This window comes from Homo sapiens, chromosome 22 (assembly GCF_000001405.40).
Source record: "Homo sapiens chromosome 22, GRCh38.p14 Primary Assembly".
Lineage (NCBI taxonomy): Eukaryota > Metazoa > Chordata > Mammalia > Primates > Hominidae > Homo > Homo sapiens.
Window position 1 is genome coordinate 43,964,307 of NC_000022.11, and position 19,407 is coordinate 43,983,713.

Here is a 19,407-nt window from a genome sequence, read left to right on the forward strand (position 1 = left end):
ATAGTAAAGTCCAGAGGTAAGAAGTGTGGATTATTAAACTTGAAGAAAACCTTGACATTAATTAAACCTTGACATTGTCTTTAGTCTTGACACCTAATCTGTTTGCCTCATGTCATCCCTAATACTGTCCCTGTGTGACTTTTAGGTGGTTGTTCAACATGTTCATTTTGATGGACTTGGAAGGACTAAAGATGATATCATCATTTGTGAAATTGGAGATGTTTTCAAGGCCAAAAACCTAATTGAGGTAGGTGTGGTCTCTACATGGTGTGCTTTCCCAGTCTCTTCTGAAGAACTCGTAAATGTCCCCATGTGAAACCACAGAGCACCCTGCGCCCGGCCTCTGTGCCGGAGATCTGCCTCCTACCCCACAGGGAGCCTTGGCACCCCCAAGCTGAACCCCCCGAATTCCTGTGGTGCCTCCTACAAACTCCATGTATTCGCATTTGCCTTTTCCTCCTGTCTCTTATCCTGGAGAAAGAAGTGTCTGTCCTCTTGCGTTCCTCATAACTCTCCCAGCGCCGTAATGCGAGCCAGTGGGGTTAGTGCACAGCCGTTCCCAGGCACCGCGCTGAGTTCCTGAGAGTGTACTCTCCCTTGCCAACCCCGTGGGGTGGGCGCTTATCTGGGACACACTCCCTGTCTCCTCAGGGCCCTGGCTCTGTCTGTGGAGCAGTCTCCTTCCTGCACTGCACCCCGTTTCTCATCTCCACTGTGGGTGGTTTCCTCTGCCTTTCTGCCCGTGGGACCATATTGAACATGCCCAGACAGAGGTCACCAGCAACTTCTTTGTGGCCGGGTCCAGCTGGCTCCTTTGTCTTCATTTCACTTGACCTTGCAGCAGCAGCAGTGTTTGGCACTGTGGACCATTCCCACTTAAAAAAAAAAAAAAAAAAGAATCTTTTTTCAATTTTTTTTAGATAGGGTCTTGCTCTGTTGCCCAGGCTGGAGTGCAGTGACACAATCTCAGCTCACTGCAACCTCTGCCTCCCAAGTTCAAAGGATTCTCACACCTCAGCCTCCCAAGTAGCTGGGATTACAGATGTGCACCACCACACCTGGCTAATTTTGTTGTATTTTTAGTAGAGATGGGGCTTTGTCATGTTGGCCAGGCTGGTCTTCAACTCTTGGCCTCAAGTGATCCACCTGCCTCGGCCTGCCAAAATGCTGAGATTACAGCCATGAGCCACCGTGCCTGCCCAAATTTGTATTTTTAAAAAATTAAAGTAACATGTAAGCACAGTAAGAAGGAAGCATAGAAAATCAAATGGTACAGAAGGGTATTGAAATGAAAAGGACAATTTTCCCTACCCCGGCCAATCCCAGTCTGCTCTCCAGAGGTAACGTGGCTGACAGTTTCCTAGATATGTTGTACGAGTGTATAAACATGTATGTTCCTTAAACAGTAATGCCATTCTCTACATTTTTTTTTCTTTTCTGACATAAATTATGGAGATCTTTTCACATCAGTACATACCAGTCTGTTGGCTGTGTGGTACCTCGTTGTACACACTTTCTAACTTTTTTAAATTTTTTTTTCTGAGATAGGGTCTTGCTCTGGTGCAAGTCCTGCTCAGGCTGGAGTCCAGTGGCGTGAACACAGCTCACTGCAGCCTAAACCTCTTGGGTTCAAGCAATCCTCCCACCTCAGCCTCCTGAGTAGCCAGGACTGCAGGCACACATCACCATGCCTAGCTAATTTTTAAAGTTTTTCTGTAGAGACGGGGTTTTGCCATGTTGTCCAGGCTGATCTGGAACTCCTGGCACAAGGGGTCCTCCCAACTTGGCCTTCCAAAGTGCTGGGATTACAGCATGAGCCACCTCACCTGGCCCTCTACATTTTATTATAAACAGTTCTCCATTGATGGGCATTTAAATTAATTTTCACTCTTACAAACAATGCTGTACTAAACATCTTAGTGTGTCTTTGTGTACATTGACTGTGTTTTAGGATAAATTCCTGGAAGTGGGATTCCTGGGTCAAAGTGTGCGCACTCTGCAGTGTTCACTGATGCAGCCGTATTGCTCTGCAAAGAGATTGCACAAGTCCACTGTCTTTTTTTTTTTTGAGACGGAGTTTCGCTCTTGTTGCCCAGGCTGGAGTGCAATGGCGCGATCTTGGCTCACTGCAACCTCCGCCTCCTGGGTTCAAGTGATTCTCCTGCTTCAGCCTCCTGAGTAGCTGGGATTACAGGTGCACACCACCACACCCAGCTAATTTTTTGTATTGTTAGTAGAGATGGGGTTTCACCATGGCCAGGCTCGATTTGAACTCCTGACCTCAGGTAATCCACCTGCCTCGGCCTGCCAGAGTGCTGGGATTACAGGTGTGAGCCACTGCACCCGGCCCACAAGTCCACTCTCTTACAGCAGTCCATGAGACGGTCTCTTTCCCAAAATTGGGTTTTATCACAATTTTTAAATTCTTGCCATCTTGTTAGAAGAAAAATGCCATCTCATTGTTTTAAATTGTATTTATTTAATTATGAATGAGATCCAGCATTTTTTTTTTTCTGTTTAGTGTTCATTCATATCTCTCTTGTGAATTAACTTGGTGTCTTCTGTCTTCCATTGGGTCATTTGGCTTTTGTTGATTTGCAATAGCTCTTTGCATATTGAAGAAATGATCGCTTTGTAGCCTCAGCTGAATGCACCTGTCCTGCTTTGTTATTTGCCTTTGAATGTGTCTGTCCCTCTTCTTGCGCTTGCCTCTTCCCTGGGCTTTGGTGACCATTTTCCTGGGTTGCTTTTTCTGTCTCATCACAGTCATTCTCAGGCTCTGTTGTCAGCTCCTTTTCCCTGTGAGCATCCTTAAGTGTTGCTTTTCCACAAGGATCAGTCTCCTGGGTCATCTCATCCACATCCCAGGTTTCAGTTACAGCCTGAATGCGGAGGGCTCCCCATGCTGTCTTTCTAGCCAGCTCCTCTGTGTTGAGCTGTAGCCCTGACTATGCAACTGCCGACTCATCGTTTCCTCATGGCATTGCCACAGCCGTCTCCAGCTCCATGGGGCTGAGACCTGAAGTCATCCCTTTTCCATCTGTCTGCTCTGCCTGTCTTCCCATCTCTATTCCTGACTTCTCTAATGGTGTTCAGCGCTAGCCCAGTGCTAAGCGCCGAGCTGCAGTTTCAGTAGCTTCTTTCTTAGCCTCTTTCTTCTTCTCATGCACTCTACCTAGGCAGTGGCAGTGTCCTCTGACCCCTGCCTGTGAAATGTCTCCAGGGTCTGTCCTCCCCTCCAATACCATGGCCTGCACTGGGCCTGCCTTCACCCTAGCCCCTGAGGCTGTTGCCAGAGCACCCCCTGCATCCTTCACCTGCAGGCTTCTCCCATCTGGGCAGAATACCGCATTCGTCTGTGTGATCCGTTCTTTCTCACAAGGAAATGTGATCCTTTCTGTCTCCTGCTGACAGTTCTACAGTGACTCCCTTTCACCTGCAGGGTGGAATCTCAACTTTCCTTATCACACGAGGGCCTTTCCTTCTCTGTGTCCTCAGCACTTGCTGCCTTACCTTCCTTCTACCTGTCCTTCCAATAAGAATGGACTCCGTGCATCAGAAGGAACTGCTGTTGACAACAAAGAAAGGACACAAAGTTGAACATTTCTAACAGTGGTTAGAGATGGTTAGAAAGGCCGGGCGTGGTGGCTCATGCCTGTAGTCCCAGCACTTTGGGAGGCTGAGGCAGGTGGATCACCTGAGGTCAGGAGTTCGAGACCAGCCTGGCCAACATGGTGAAATCCTATGTCTGCTAAACATACAAAAAAAAAATTCGCTTGGCGTGGTGGTCTGTGCCTGCAATCCCAGCTACTCAGAAGGCCGAGGCAGGAGAATGGCTTGAACCTGGGAGGCAGAGGTTGCAGTGAGCTGAGATTGCACCGTTGCACTCCAGCCTGGGCAGCAGAGCGAAACTCTGTCTCAAAAAAAAAAAAAAAAAAAAAGAAAAAAGAAAAAAAGAAAAAAAAAGAAAGTAAAGAAATGAATAGAAAATTGAAACACCACAAGAAGATGTGCATTTCTTCCTCAAAGGGAGAGCTGAAAAAAAAAATGAAAAGGTGTGCAGACACACGTGTCTTTCTTTTGCCAGACATAACCACTGTTCACGATTGTGATCTCTTCCAGCACAACGTTCTAGACTGTGTGTTAGGTTTGTGTATCTGCGTTAGTCTTGTTGTTTATACGAAGGGGATTATATGTTGCACACTCTTGATGCCAAGGCTTGGTTTTGCACTTGTGAATGGGCATTTTTGTTGCCCCTGTGGTGCTTTTCCCTTCTGTCATGTGGCTGGTCTTGGTAGTGCTCTCTGCTCAGTGATCTGACTTAGCACCGAATGGTAAACTACCAGCCTCGCCGTGTGGCTGCCATTTGCTGTTTCTGTATCGTAGAAGAATATATTCCTTGTTTTTCTTCCCCCATTTTATAGGTAATGCGGAAATCTCATGAAGCCCGTGAAAAATTGCTCCGTCTTGGAATTTTTAGACAAGTGGATGTTTTGATTGACACATGTCAAGGTACATATTGTGGTGTAGTATCTTTATAATTCCCTTTCTGTCCATCAGAGAAAAGCTGTTTTTATGGCCAGATGCAGATCTGGGCAGCAGAGCACTGCTCCCTGCTGTGTAGAACCTGAAAGTTGATCAAACAGGTAGTCCTTGAGTTAGCAGTCTCAGGGAAGGGATTGGATTTTTTGTTTGTTTTTGGAGAGGGGTCTTGCTGTATTGCCCAGGCTGGTCTGGAACTCCTGTGCTCAAGCGATCTACCTGCCTCAGCCTCCTGAGTAGCTGGGCTTACAGTTGCGGGCCTGGATTTTTGTATGAGGCCGGGGAGGAGTGGTGAACTTTGAAGATACTGTTGTGTGAAGCCCTGGACTCCACGGGGGCCTGAGAGTGACTCTGAAGGAGGGGGCCAGGCTTCGTTCACATAGCCCAGCCCAGCACTGTGCAGACCCCCATCTCAGTGTATGCTTTAAAAAGAGGAGGGAATCCAATTTCCATTTTAGTTTTTGCCCATTTTCTTGTTGCTGTGTGATACTGGGCACGTCTCTGAACATTTATTCTTTGGCTAGTGAGCACCTGCTTCGAGGCCAGCCCTGTGCAGGCCCCAGAGGGAGACACAGGGCGTGGTCTCCTCCTGATGGGCTTCGGTCATAGCAGCACACAGGGCGTGGTCTCCTCCTGAAGGGGCTTCGGTCAGTGGGGCTGGGTTGGGGGCAGACCAGTAAGTGATGGCAGCACAGTCGCTATGTTGTGCTGTAAGAGGCTGAGGGAGGAGACAGTTCACCTGGCCAGGGCATGAGAAGGGGATCAGAGAGGGTGTCCCTGAAGGGGCGATGTCTGAGCTGAGACCTAGAAGATGCATCTGAGCGAGTATGGGGAGAAGGGCTGGTAGTGAGGTGGGGTGAAGAATGTTCTGGGGACAGAGATAGCACTTATCAGGCCCACGCCAGGGGAGAGTGGCTCGCTGGGTGGACCGCAAGTGTAGGAAGAGCTGGAGTGCAGGTTGGGGGAATGGAGTGCTGGAAGACAAGGAAGAAAAGCCGTCAGGAGCCCAGACCGTGGTGGGCCTAACATGGCGCGGTAGAGTTCCCACTTTAGTCAGAATTCAGCAGACACCATTGAAAAATAAAATTTGGAATGAATCTGTGAATGAGTAACTCTTCAGAATTGAATGGGGGGTAATTTTGAGAAGGCCTAGATAAGACAATATAGGAAAATGCTTGCAAAAAATAAGGTGCTAGATAAACTAAGGACATTTTCATTATTTGGAGTATAGTTTCAGCCAACACTAACAGACCTAAAAGAACAGTGGCTTAGACAAGAGAGAAGTCTCCATCTCTCCACACAGCTGGGAGACTGCCAAGGGCTGGTGTGGTGCTGCGTTCCCTGAGGTCACCTTGGGCTGGCGTGGTTTCCTGTGGTTCCCTGGGGTCACCTTGGGCTAGTGTGGTGCCTTGTTCTCTGAAGTCACCTTGGGCTAGTGTGGTTTCCTGAGGTCACCTTGGGCTGGTGTGGTGCTTCGTTCCCTGAAGTCACCCTGGGCTGGTGTAGTTTCCCCCCGTGGTGTCTTGTTGCTTTGTCATCCCTAGGGTCCCTGAGTCCCTCTGATGGCTGAGCACCGTGTCCTCATTCCAGTATTGGAGGAGCACAGGAGATTGAGAGGGCTTACCCCTCCCTTTAAGCACCTGTCCTAGGTGTTGTACACGGCACTGCTCTCATCCCATTGGCCAGGACTTAATCACTTGGCCACACCTAGGTGCAGGGGAGGCTGGGAAGTCACTGGACTTGAGTTAATAATTGGTGTATGGGTTTATCAGTTGTGACAAATGTACCACACATGCGAGGTGTTAGTAAGTGTGTGTCGGGGTAAGGAGAGGTTCATGGAAACTCTTTGTACTTTTGTAGTTTGTACAAAAACTTTGTACTTTCTGCTTTATCTTTTTTTTTTACCCGCAACCCACTGTTGCTGGCTTCAATTCTTTATCTTTCTGTGCGCCTAAAGCTGCTCTAAGAAATAAAGTCCACTAAATAAAAAATAAAGTAAAATAAAAAATAAAAAAAGAAAAAGAAAGAAAAGATGGTGCCAGGCGGGGTGGCTCACGCCTGTAATCCCAGCACTTTGGGAAGCCAGGGCGGCTGGATCATGAGGTCAGGAGTTCGAGACCAGCCTGGTCAACATGGTGAAACCCCGTCTCTACTAAAAATACAAAAAATATTGGCAGAGTGTGGCGGCGGGTGCCTGTCATCCCAGCTACTCGGAAGGCTGAGGCAGGAGAATTGCTTGAACCCGGGAGGTGGAGGTTGTGGTGAGCTGAGATCATCCGACTGCACTCCAGCCTGGGTGACAGAATGAGGCTCCATCTCAGAAAAAAAGAAAAGACAGTACTGAGGCTCCACCCTAGAACTGTTGGACCTGAGTTCCTAGAGCGGTGCCTGAGCATCAGCATATTTTGACAGTTGCCCAGATGCGTCTAGATGTCCAGCCAGGGCTGAGCACCCCTGTGTACAAGGCAGGAGTCGCCTTTCCTTCCTGTGAGAGGCCACTCATTCCTACAGAGCCCAGCCCGCTCTGCACAAGGCACCCCAGGGCCATGGTGGGTCACGAGGTGGCTGCTTCCAGCTCAGACCCAAATCATACCTGGTGCGGGGGAGGACAGACATGCCTCTTACACACAGTAACACAGTAAACAATCTCACACTTATCTTCGAGGGTTACTGACACCCCTATTGTCATGTGAGTTCCCCATTTTCATGTCGGTTGAATTGAGAACCCAAATATTTTCAAGGACCTCTCTAATAGGAGAACAGATTCCTTTAGCAAATATTGTTTGCTTAAGTTTGCTTAAGTGAATAATGCTGCTTATAGTTATCTCCTTGTAGCAAAGGTAGATTGTTTTTGTTTTTTGGTTTTTGGTTTTTTTTTTAGAGACAGGGTCTTGCTCTGTCGTCCGGGCTGGAATGCAGTGGCACAGTCATAGCTCACTGCAGCCTCCAACTGCTGGGCTCAAGTGATCTTCTCACCTCAGCCTCCCGAATAGTTGAGACTATAGGTGCTCGCCACCACATCTGGCTAATTTTTAAAATTTTTGTAGCTATGTTGCTGGGGCTGGTCTTGAACTCTTGGCCTGAAAGTGATCCTCCCACCTTGTCCTCCCAAAGCACTGTGATTACAGGCCTGAGTCACTGTGCTCAGCCCTGTTTATTGATATATTCTACCAGAGAAACTAGAAACATTATTTTTTGGTGTAGAGGTGTGCAATATTTTGATTTTGTGTGGGAGTGTTCTTAAACGTTTCTCATGATTATATTATTTTCTAAAGGAGATTGTAAAATAGAATGAACCTTCAGATTGCTTTTTGTCTTTTTTAGCAATGGGAACCCAAAGTAAAATAACATCCTGGCTGTCTTATTGTTTAATATTTTTTTATTTAGGTGATGACGCACTTCCAAATGGGTTAGACGTTACCTTTGAAGTAACTGAATTGAGGAGATTAACGGGCAGTTATAACACCATGGTTGGAAACAATGAAGGCAGTATGGTATGCTACAGGCTTTTTACTTTCTTATATTGGAACTTAGAGTTGGGAACTTTTACACTATGACTGCATTCTAAAAGCTGATGATAGTTTCAAAATTCGGTCATTTCATTTACCTTAATCTGTTGTTATTTGTGGTTTCTCTTTAATCACCGTAGAATTGGTGATAATATGTTTTGGGTTGTTTGATAACAATGTTAACGTTAGTAATTAGGAATGATTTGGAGAATGTTCATATTAATAGTCTCTTGTTCAAATTCCTTTAAACTCTAAATCTGTAACATTCTTGAGCCTCACGGGTGGCAAGGTTAGCTTGTCCCTTGCATTAATCAGGTTTGAATGCAGGATGTGAGCACTCAGCAGCGGCATGTTTTAAAGAATGAAAGTGATTACAAATGAAAGACTAGATCTGTAGTTAGCATCTTCCTTCTGTTTTTATGAAAGTCCCTTAGCTAGCATAGTCTTTATCCAATCCAAAGTTCTCATTCCTTCAATGTAGACCACTGCTATTTTTTTTTTTTCCCCTCCTAGGTACTTGGCCTCAAGCTTCCTAATCTTCTTGGTCGTGCAGAAAAGGTGACCTTTCAGTTTTCCTATGGAACAAAAGAAACTTCGTATGGCCTGTCCTTCTTCAAACCACGGCCCGGAAACTTCGAAAGAAAGTAGGAAGCCCAACAGATCATTGAGTACACTGGCCTGATAGAAAAGTTAAAATAGGTGGCTTATTTGTGAAAAGAACCATGACAGAATCAGCTGCCACTTCTGCAGTGACCACATGCTGTAGATTTCCTCTTGAAGATGAGCCCTACGGGCGTAGTGTTAAGTCTGTTGATTTAAATGTGTGCAAGTTCTAATCACTGTTTCAGCTTTTAAAGCTCTATCCCATTGTCTCCTAGTTTCTCTGTAAACTTATATAAAGTTACTGGACAGTTCCCTTGGAGCTCACTGCGGGAGACGGACAGAGGAATGTCAGCTGAGTACAGTGTGAGTAGCATTTCAGTCCTTCCCTCTGGGCTTGGGGGAAAACAGGGTGGCTTTTTCACTGATTCCCAAAGGCAGCAAGAGGGCAGCGTGGAAAGCACAGGCCCTCTGCCCTCCGCACCAGGTACCTCCTGGCCAGGTGCCTCTTCTCTAGCCGAGTACAGGCTACAGGGACCCGAGAGTGGCTGATGCCCATGTTAGCAGCTCCTTAACCTGGTCCTGACTACCCGAGGCACCATTGGTTGTCCCTCCCCATATGTGTGGAGACTGACAGTTTCTCATAGTCAGCAGAGTTGGTCAGATCACTGGAAGGTTTCTTTTTTGTTGTTGTTGAGACAGAGGTTTGCTCTTGTCGCCCAGGCTGGAGTACAATGGCACGATCTCGGCTCACTGCAACCTCCGCCTCCCCGGTTCAAGTGATTCTCCTGCCTCAGCCTCCGTCACCGTGCCCAGCTAATTTTTGTTATTTTTAGTAGAGATGGCGGTTTCCTTATGTTGGCCAGGCTGGTCTCGAACTCCCGACCTCAAGTGATCTGCCCGTCTCAGCCTCCCAAAGTGCTGGGATTACAGGTGTGAGCCACTGCACCTGGTCCGGAAGGTTTCATTTTTGGTTCACACCTAAGTTTACACCTAGAAGGGTGTGATTAAATGCCACCATTGGAATTCGTATCATTTGGCCTTTTTGGGGCTTTATGATAACCTGCTTTTTTTTTTTCTCCTTCCTTTCGCCACTGTTCCTGACTCCTCTTGTTCTGGGCTTTAGTTCTTGCGGAGAGCCCTGAGATAGAATACTATGTAAGAGTCGTTCCCCACATGTGGTCTTCAGACCAGCAGCATCGACCTCAGCTGTGGGCTTGTTAGAAATGCACATTCGCGGGCTCCACCTTGAGCTGCCAAGTCCGACTCACAGAGAGTGGGGCCCAGGAAGCTTTAAGTGTGCTCTCCCTCCAAGAACCCAGCAGAAGCCCTGGAGGCGACCACCTGGGCTTGACTCCCCCGTCTCCCTTAGGGCTGTGCGACCTCAGGCAAATGACTCATCTGTGAAATGAAGGACAGGAGCGCGGGGTCTCCCAGGGCCGTTGTGAGGGTTGGATGAGAGGCGTGGTAAAGCTCCTGATGCGGCGCGTGGCGCAGTTTAGGTGCTTGAGGTGCGTTAGTGCCCCAGGCCTCTGGTCCTTGCAGACCAAGGCCATGAGAACTCAGAGCACACAGAGCTGGGCCAGGTAGACTCCAGGTTCAAGATGGAGATAGGAGAATCCAGGCACATTTGCACTTTCATTTCCTTTTCTCCAAATTTTCTTGTCTGGAAGGGAGCAGCCCTGAGACACCTTTCTGCTTTGAAACCGTCCTCGGATGCCCTCTGGTGGGGCCGTGGAGGGGAAACCTGGGCCACATGCTGCTCTCTCCAGCCTGCTGTCCTCCAGCAGGTCTCCAGGTGCCTGTGTGCACCCACAGTGGTCGGGCTCCCGGGAGCTTAGCCACCCTTCTCCCCAGTGTCATGCTTCATTTCTTTCTAAGCCTTTTTAAAGAGCAGATTTTTAGGAGAGTAGAAATACCTTATTTTTTCACAAGGAATAGCAGAGATGAAAGACACCAAAGTGTAGACTCGGCCCTCGGGTGGGTGCAGGTAGAGGGGAGGAGGAAAGGGGAGGGCAGACACCTTGTCGCCGGCAGCCCTGAAGCTGAGCTCCTAGAGGAACGGACCAGATCATACTCAGTGGTATCCTTGGGGCCCATGTCAGGCCTTCTAAGGAATGAAGAAATGATTTAGGAAGCTCTACACCTCCCGTAGGAATTTGGGAAAGTGCCTGAATCCCAGGTGGCCCTAAGTGTAGAGATGGTGGCTGTGCAGGCTGCCCCTCCTGTACCATCTCCCCAGTGCCTGGCATGGTGCCCTGTGGGTGCTGAGGTGGGTGCCTCTCACCATGAAGGCGGGATGGAGTGTTCTGGGCCTGCTGGTGACCCACTTACCCCATGGCCTGGAGTTCAATTGCAAGCCTGAGGGCTAGAGAGGGCCCAGCATGGGACACCCCCTGGGGAGTATGGGGTGACGTGGCTTCCTTGTGAGAGTTAAATCACTGTCCTACCACTTCTCAAAGCCACCAAACATCGTTCACTGTTCAGAAAACATTTCTCTGAGATAGAAATCTAAGATGAGCTGTCCTGGCAGCAGGAAAGAGAGCGTCAGGCTGGGAAGCAGGTGCCACCTGCTTGGACCCCAGAATTCACCCGGCTCAGGCCTCTGCTGCAGGAAGGATCCCTCGCCTCCCACATAACTCTCGTCTCTGCCACCTTCTCTCTGGGCCGGTGCAAGTCGCTGGGTTGCCAGGCCTGGCTTCAGACAGGGTCGGGTGGACCAGGTGGGGTTTGCGCCATCAGATCATCTTAGGTGTCTTACCCATTACAAAGAAGTGGGAAAGAGATAGCACCTGTCGATGATAGAGCTGCCTGCAGCCCTCAGACCAGCCCTGTCCCTCACCTGGGGTGCAGTCCTGCTACTTAGAGCAGTACTGCCTTTGATTCCCTTCACAGCTTTCCCCCTTTCTTCCTTTGTCCTTCTTCCCTCTGGTTTTCTCTTCCCCTTCTTCTCTTCTTCCCCTTCTCCCTCTCTCTCATCATTAAAAAAAATTAGATATTTAGTTCATTGTTTCATGATGCTTCATTCCAAAAAATGATTTGCAACAAGTTCCTAAGTATGTGTGGTCCGGAAAGATGTCTGATCTCCATGTTGCAGTTTCCCATATGGAAGACCAGCCACACTGTCAAGTGGGAAGGCGTATGGCGAGAACTGGGCTGCCTCTCAAGGACGGCGTCATTTGCTGTTCGAAAAGAAAGCGGACATTCACTGAAATCATCTCTTTCGGTAACGGTTTCTCTTAGTTGGAGTAAATAATTTTGTTGATGGAACCATGCTATGCATTGGGAAAACAGTCTTTGCCAATATCAGGGCTGACTGAGAAGCGTCACCCAGATGGGGTGTCCACAGTGGCGGCCCCCACTCCCCGAGGGCTTGTGGTGTCCTGCCTCGCGTGGTCCTTTCCGAATAATGTCAGTGGTAACAGGAAGAGGTGTGCTTCAGAGCTGACTGTGGAATTTCAGCTTTCAAAAAGAAGGAGGAACCAGGCTGAGCCGACTGAGGCCAGGGCGTCGAGCTCCTTGAGAGAACGAACCCGGTGGTGGGTGTTCAACTCCCACGTAGTGAGCAGGAATCGTTTATTCAGTTGAAGCTCAAGTCTCAGTGTGGACGTCTCAGTGTCCTCCTATGTAAGATAGGGACAGTCACCCTCACTTCCTCCAAGGGCTCTGTGAACACGAAATGACATGATAGTTGTAGAGTGCTAGCGTGGTGTGGCCCACGTGCTGTGAGTGCTCATGGTTATCTAATAGAACTTCTTAAAGTGAAAATATCCCCATTCAAATTTCTTTCAGCACGCCATGGTCATCGATTCTCGGAATTCTTCCATCTTACCAAGGAGAGGTGCTTTGCTGAAAGTTAACCAGGTAGTGTTGTTTCACCTGTGACCCCTGCAGGGTGAGGGGAGCCAAACTTTGGACAGTAGATAAAGTCCCGGTGGGCTGGGTGGGCCTGGGGGTGGGCAGTCCCACAGAGTAATCGCACATGCAGTATCGCTTTTGAAGGTCGCCAGCTCCACTCTCAGGGCTTCCAGCCCGGAAATTGCTCCCTACCCCCTGCAGTTCAGTCTTGTGCCTTCACAGAACCCAAGGTGGGGGTAAGGCTGTGGCATCCTTGATGAGGGCCTGTAATAGGCCAGGAGGAGGGCTGTGACTTGGTGTTACCTGGGAGAGAGTGTCCGAAGGCAGGGGTCACCCCTCAATGGCTGCAGGGCAGGTGCATCGTGGCAGCAGGAGGTGCTGGAGGAAGGTCTTCACCACCTTAGAGGAGCGTGCTTCTCTGCTGGTGTTGGAGGCGGGCTGTTAGTCTGTCTTTGGGTTGCCCTCTTGTTGGAGGCAGGGGGATAGTTCTTTACTGTAAGGTACCTACAAGGTGCAGGCACAGTGAGGAGCCCACCTTGGTGGCTTGAGAGTGAGGGCAGCAGGGGCTGCACTGAACCTTGAGGCTTCCCCGAGCAGCTACCCTCGCTCTGGCCGGTGGTACTTAGGTGTTGTCAAGCAGGGCAAAAGCCCGGGGGTGCCTGACCTTCAGTGTCAGAGGAGCAATTAGAAATCAGGTTTTTATACAAAATAGCCCACATTGTGAAAGGTCAGCTGAGTTTTTCCCCAAATGCCGATGAAGCCAACGAGCCAAGCCGTCTGTGCTGAGCTCTGTGTTCAGACACTCAGGCTGCCAGTGCTCCCTGCACACAGCCAGAGGGCAGCCTCTGCACCTCTTGGATCTGCTGATCCTCCATCCCAGTCCGTCCACTGTTGCTGTCCGCAACAATTAGGATGTGGCTTCTAGGAGACAGAATTTTCTGTAGCCTTTAAAAAAATACAAAACGGCAAAATTAAATCCTGATGCAAAAACATGATTCTGTAGCCCCTGTAATAAGTCTGTTTGCTCCCTTTGACCTGAGTGCTCCTTCCCTGCAGGAACTGGCAGGCTACACTGGCGGGGATGTGAGCTTCATCAAAGAAGATTTTGAACTTCAGTTGAACAAGCAACTCATATTTGATTCAGTGAGTATCTAACGGATGCTGGCACCTGCACTGTCAGCCCTTACTTTGGGGATCTTACCACAGAATCTTAGCTCCTGAATATCTAAAGCACAGAGTGGAAGCCTGGGCGGTAATGCTTAACCTTTGATGTTTCCAGTTTAGCCAGATTTGCAGGTAGTCTGGGGAGAAGCCATAAATATTTTCTTTTAAAAGTAACCTCTGATGGCCGGGCGCAGTGGTTCACGCCTGTAATCCCAGCACTTTGGGAGGCTGAGGTGGGTGGATCACAAGGTCAGGAGATCGAGACCATCCTGGCTAACACGGTGAAACCCTGTCTACTAAAAAAAATTAGCCGGGCGTGGTGGTGGGCGCCTGAAGTCCCAGCTACTCGGGAGGCTGAGACAGGAGAATGGCATGAACTCCGGAGGCAGAGCTTGCAGTGAGCCAAGATCACACCACTGCACTCCAGCCTGGGTGACAGAGAGACTCCTTCTCAAAAAAAAAAAAAAAAAAAAAGTAACCTCTGCTAATCGTTACACATAGGACCATGAGAGAGCCCCTCCCCGTTTATCATCTCAGGGCCTTGGAGGAGGGGTGGCTGGAGGACAGAGGGGTGTCTCCTGCCCTTGAAATGCTGTTCCGTGGACCTTCTGAGTCTTCACTTTGCTGGGTCTACAGGGCTCTGGGTGCTTTCAGAAATTTTTTTTTTTTTTTAATCTTTAGTCCTGTTGGGTCAGTTTCTCCTGATTCACTCAGGAGTGAGGAGAAAGTGACTGGATTCTGGTCTCGCCAGAGGAGCCCCAGGCTGGGAGGGCACCTGGCATATTTCTCACGTCTTCCCAGCACCCAGTGGCTGGGGGCAGCTCTGCCCTGCCTTTGCTGCCTAGGTCCTTATCTACCTTAAAACCTGGGGGCAAGGATTGAGTGTAATGAAATGGTGCATGCGACTGTTTCTAGAGAGCTCATTTTAAAATAATTTGTTACTGCCCCTATTCAGCCCTTGACTCTGCACTTTGAACTTGGTTCCTGCCTTCCTCTGCCCCTGCCACCACAGGCCTCCTTGTTGTCCGGCACGTGAGCCCATCCTGATCCCTTCTGCAGCACTGGATGTTGTCGCCTGCTCGCCTGTTCTCACTTTATCTCTCTTGTTTTCTTGACTCATCATTGCTGCGCTCTTCCACTCCTCAGTTTTCTCTTCTCAGGGCCCTTTCTGCCTCATAGGCATGGCTTGCCCCTAGATCTCTGTTGCCATCTCCCCACCCTGCTTCTCTCTGGGACAGTCTCCTACAGCCCTGTGGCTGCAGCTGCTGCCTGTGTGTAGCAACTCTGGTTCTCCTGCCTCCTTCCTGGGCCCAGATTCAAGTGCTCCTGGCTGTCTCAGCCCCTACCTTACAGACACCTCATATCAACAGAGCTCATTGCCTTCCCCACAAATCTGTACCCACGCCTGGGCTCCCCATCCACTGACCTGCACAGTGCACCCGGCTGCCCTTGAACTTAACTCCCTGGCTGCTCTCAGTCCTCCCCTCAGCCACCTGCCACCCACTGGGCGCTGCCCTTCCTCCTCTCAGCACTGCTCATCCGCACTGAACCAATGTCGCGTTCTGAGTCGTCTCTGCTCCTCTCCTACTCCCTGCCTTCCCCTTCCCCCCTCTACACTATGGACATATTAGTCTTTTTGAGTCGTCTTTACTCCCCTTCCACTCCCTGCCTTCCCCTTCCCCTTCTCCACACTGCAGATGTGTTAGTGTTTCTGAAACACAAGCCTTACCATATCACTTTCCTACACAAACTGCTTGTGCTGTTAGGGTGCCTGTAGCCCTTGATCCTTCATCACTGTGCCTGTCTCATGCTTCGGCTCTGTGGAAATACTTTTTGTTTCCCAGAAGGCATTGGCTCACCCTGACTTTCAGGCACTCGTATTCACTCTGTCTGCCGCTGGCTGTAACTCCCTTTTTTTCAGTTGTTTCCTTGGCCTCCCACTCCCTGCCTTTAAGACTTTGGTATAGGTGTGTCTCCTGCAAGCCTTCTTCAACCTCCTAGATGGAAGTGGGGGCTCCTCCACTGTGCCCGTAGCTCCTGTGCTTATCCTGTGGTAGTGCCCATCCATCTACCCACCCATTTACCCATCCATCCATCCATCCGTCCGTCCATCCATCCACCCATCCACCCATCCACCCACCCACCTACCCACCCACACATCCATCCATCCATCCATCCATCCATTCACCCACCCACCCACCCACCCATCCATCCACCAGTCTAACACATGTATGCTGGCTGCCAGGCACTGTCCAGGCACTAAGAATATATCAGTGAACAAAGCCCAATTCCTGCTCTCAAGGAACTTCCATTCTTGAGGAGGGAAACCTATAAGCTAGTATCTTTATATATCATTGAGGAGGCGGTGACAAGTGTTGTGAAGAAAAATAAAGCAGAATTAAGGGGTAGAAAGTGACCAGAAGGGGATGCCATCTAGTTAGGATGGTCAGGGAGGGTGGCTAGTAAGGCAACCCCCGAGCACAGCCCAGAGCACGGTGAGGGAGCAAGGGTAGGACAGCGGGACACCTCGGGCGGGAGCATGAATTCCAAGAGCAGTAGTGGCAGGAGGGCCTTGGAGGCCGGATGTGGGCTCTTGCTTCCACTCTACATGAGAGGGAAGCCCTGGAGCCTTCTGAGCAGAGTCCGGACACCTGGCTGAGAAGAAAATGCCAGCTGCTGTGGGGACAGAAGCTTGTCCTTCCTACAGAAGCTTCTGAGAAAGCCATTTCTGAGCAGCTTGGAGGGACATAGGCATTTGCAAGGCAGAGAACGTGTGAGGCTCGGCCAGCCGCCCGAAAACATGGGGTGCAGGGGAGCAGGAGAGCCTCTACCTGGTTGAGGACATTGTTGAGAAGGTTTTGTGGCATGAAGATGGGCTCACTGAGCCAAGACTGGCTACTGCCTCCTGCCCTGTAAGAGACAAGGCTCTGTCCTTGAGAGTGGGGTTGGGAGTGCGTCTCTGCATTGGGGGAGCCTTGCAGCCGGTACCTTCTTTCAGCCTAAAATGCGTGTGCCCTGAATCCTTCCACATTTTGAGGCCGCGGCAAAGAGGCCTGAGCAGGTGCAGGGGGCCTGGCTCCCTCCTCTGTGAGGCCTTGGCTCCTGCTGCTGGGCGTCACTTCCCGTTGCAGAGCAGGGGCCTGCCCTGTGTCCGAATGGAAGCCGGGCCCTGCTCGCCTTCGGTGTGTCTTGATTTGGACTTTGGAATTGCGTGTTTTAATAGAATCCACGTGGCCCTTCGAAGGGTAGCTCTGCAACGGGACAAGCCAGGCATTCTCCTGCGGCCCTTGCACCCCATCGCGGAGCTCTGCACGCCACGGGCATTCAGTGTGTGGCCAGTTGCTAGTTGCTGATGTTCCTGGAGTGAAAGGAATGCTGGGAGAAAACAACCATTTGTTTCTATTTGAACAGGTTTTTTCAGCGTCTTTCTGGGGCGGAATGTTGGTACCCATTGGTGATAAGCCGTCAAGCATTGCTGATAGGTAAGTACTAATCAATGAATGGATAATTTGCACATATTTTCCTTTGGATCTTTTCAGTTGTTTTTTATAAGATATTTTAGAGAAGTTTATTTAGGAGAGCATAGTATTTCAAATATTCCTTTAGTATTTATGTTTAAGCTAATTTCTAAATATCGGGTATACCTCACACTTAATATTTTTTGCTTTTGTTGGGGAAGTTACTTTATTATATTTAAAATGTATTGTTCCCTTTTGATTATGAAGGAATATAGTTCATACTCATTGCAGAAATGCAAAAATGGAGAAACACTTAAAGAAATTAGAGAAAGCACTCACTAAGTCATGAGAAATTCTTTATAAGCAGCATTGTAGTGGCATATGTTTCATTATTTGCATATACCATAACTTTTTAGCCTACCGTGTATTTTTTGATATTTCATTGGTTTCTAATTTGTGATTTTTGTAAATAACATTGTAAATAATAACTTTTAAGATAACTTGTTGTTTATTTTATTTTCTGTGGTATTACTCTCTCAAAGTAAAACTCATAGTATTGCTGGGTGCTGCTTTTAGGAAGCTTACAGCAATTTATACCCCTACCAGCAGGGTATGAACTTGTACTTGTTGCTTCGAAATACTAATCATTGTCCTCTAGGGCAAAAAAACTTTTTTTTCAACCCTGCATTAGTTAAAATATACTGGTACAGCTTTTTTGGATGGTGGTTTGGAAGTAGAACAATTTTAGGTTTATAAACTCTGGATCCTAACAGTTTCACAAAACTCCATGAATCTAATTTACAAAAGTACTTTTCTAAGTGTGTAAAGATTTATGTGTAGAAGGATGTCCATTGTAGCATTGCTGATGAATAGCAAAGAATTTGAAACTGCCTTATGTAAGTTCCGCAGTAGGGAAATGGTGAAATTCTAGCACAACCATTCCAGATCTATGTAATTATTAAAAATAAGGAGATATGTGTTCATAAGTTAACATTTTGCACATGAATATGTTTAGTGGATCCCTTTCCAGCGTGCATGCAGGTGTAGCACCGAGGGCCTGGGAAGCCAGCCACCAAAACAGTGACGGTGGGCACCCCAGAGCCTGGGATGCAGCAGGCAGAACCATTTCACTCGTTATGTTATATGCATCCTGGATCATTTGAATTCAAATGTGTGATTTATCGTTTCTTTTTTATTTTATTTATGTATGTTTTTTGAGACAGAGTCTTACTCTGTCACCCAGGCTGGAGTGCAGTGGCACGATCTCGACTTACTACAACCTCTACCTCCCGGGTTCAAGCTATTCTCCTGCCCCAGCCTCCCAAGTAGCTGGGACTACAGGCACCCGGCACCACGCCCAGCTAATTTTTGTATTTTTAGTAGAGGCGAGGTTTTACCATGTTGGCTAGGCTGGTCTCTAACTCCTGACCTCAGGTGATGCGCCCACCTCAGCCTCCCAAAATGCTGGGATTACAGGCGCGAGCTACCGCACGTGGCCTGATTGATCATTTCTTTAAAAACGAAGCTTGCTGTTTTTGCAATTCATGTTAATGGGGTATTCAGAAAAGCCTTGCTTAGAAATCCCAAGTAGTAAAAACATATTTATAGGTTTTAAAACTCAAATTAAAATGAAAAAATTCATAAAGGCTTTTATTTGGTAGGAAAACCAGAAAAAGCCGCGCCCTGTTCCCTTTGTGCTGTTGCAGACCTGCAGGGTGTTCTTAGCCTCCCGCGGCCTCAAAGGTCAGAGGGCTCTGAGGGCACCTGCCGGGGTTGTGTCCTTGGCTGCCTCTTGGCTGGAAAGATTACACAGAATTTCTCTTGTCATTTAAATTCATTTTTTAGTAATTATCATAATCTAAAATCGGGTTCTAATATGCTGTTCAATTTTTCAGAAAGTGGATGGGTTTTTATGTAATTAATTTTTAATTCACGCTTTTCATATTATTCAGATATGGTTGGTGAGAGTGTGACAATCCAGTTCATTAGGGAACAAGAGGAGCTCATATTTAAAAATTATAAACCTAACAAGAATTCTTTTTTGGTCTGTTTCTAGTATTATAGCCCCCCTTTTTGTAATATTGGGATTATACTATTAAATAATTTGTATCCTGCTCTTCTTCCCCTAATATCGCACTGTGAGCCAGTAGGAGGCCCGCCATGAAAAGGAACTGCGTCATGAATTCTCACAGACAGCTGATAGTTCCTTTGTGACAGACAGTTTGCCCTGCCCCTCTCTCCTAGTGTGTTTCTTGGCATCTTGTGTCTCACCTGCA

The 19,407-nt window shown here is 48.3% G+C and overlaps 1 protein-coding gene across 1 annotated transcript in view; it reads left to right on the forward strand.

The window, feature by feature from the left end:
- The window catches only part of SAMM50 (SAMM50 sorting and assembly machinery component), a 41,088-nt gene that overhangs the window by 8,865 nt on the left and 12,816 nt on the right, over positions 1–19,407 (forward strand). The window contains exons 3-11 of the mRNA NM_015380.5: positions 146–247; positions 4,425–4,512; positions 7,930–8,036; positions 8,565–8,695; positions 8,930–9,017; positions 11,749–11,877; positions 12,444–12,515; positions 13,566–13,652; positions 17,085–17,155. Of these exons, the coding sequence (NP_056195.3) occupies positions 146–247; positions 4,425–4,512; positions 7,930–8,036; positions 8,565–8,695; positions 8,930–9,017; positions 11,749–11,877; positions 12,444–12,515; positions 13,566–13,652; positions 17,085–17,155 (875 nt within the window). The remainder of the gene's footprint in view (positions 1–145; positions 248–4,424; positions 4,513–7,929; positions 8,037–8,564; positions 8,696–8,929; positions 9,018–11,748; positions 11,878–12,443; positions 12,516–13,565; positions 13,653–17,084; positions 17,156–19,407) is intronic.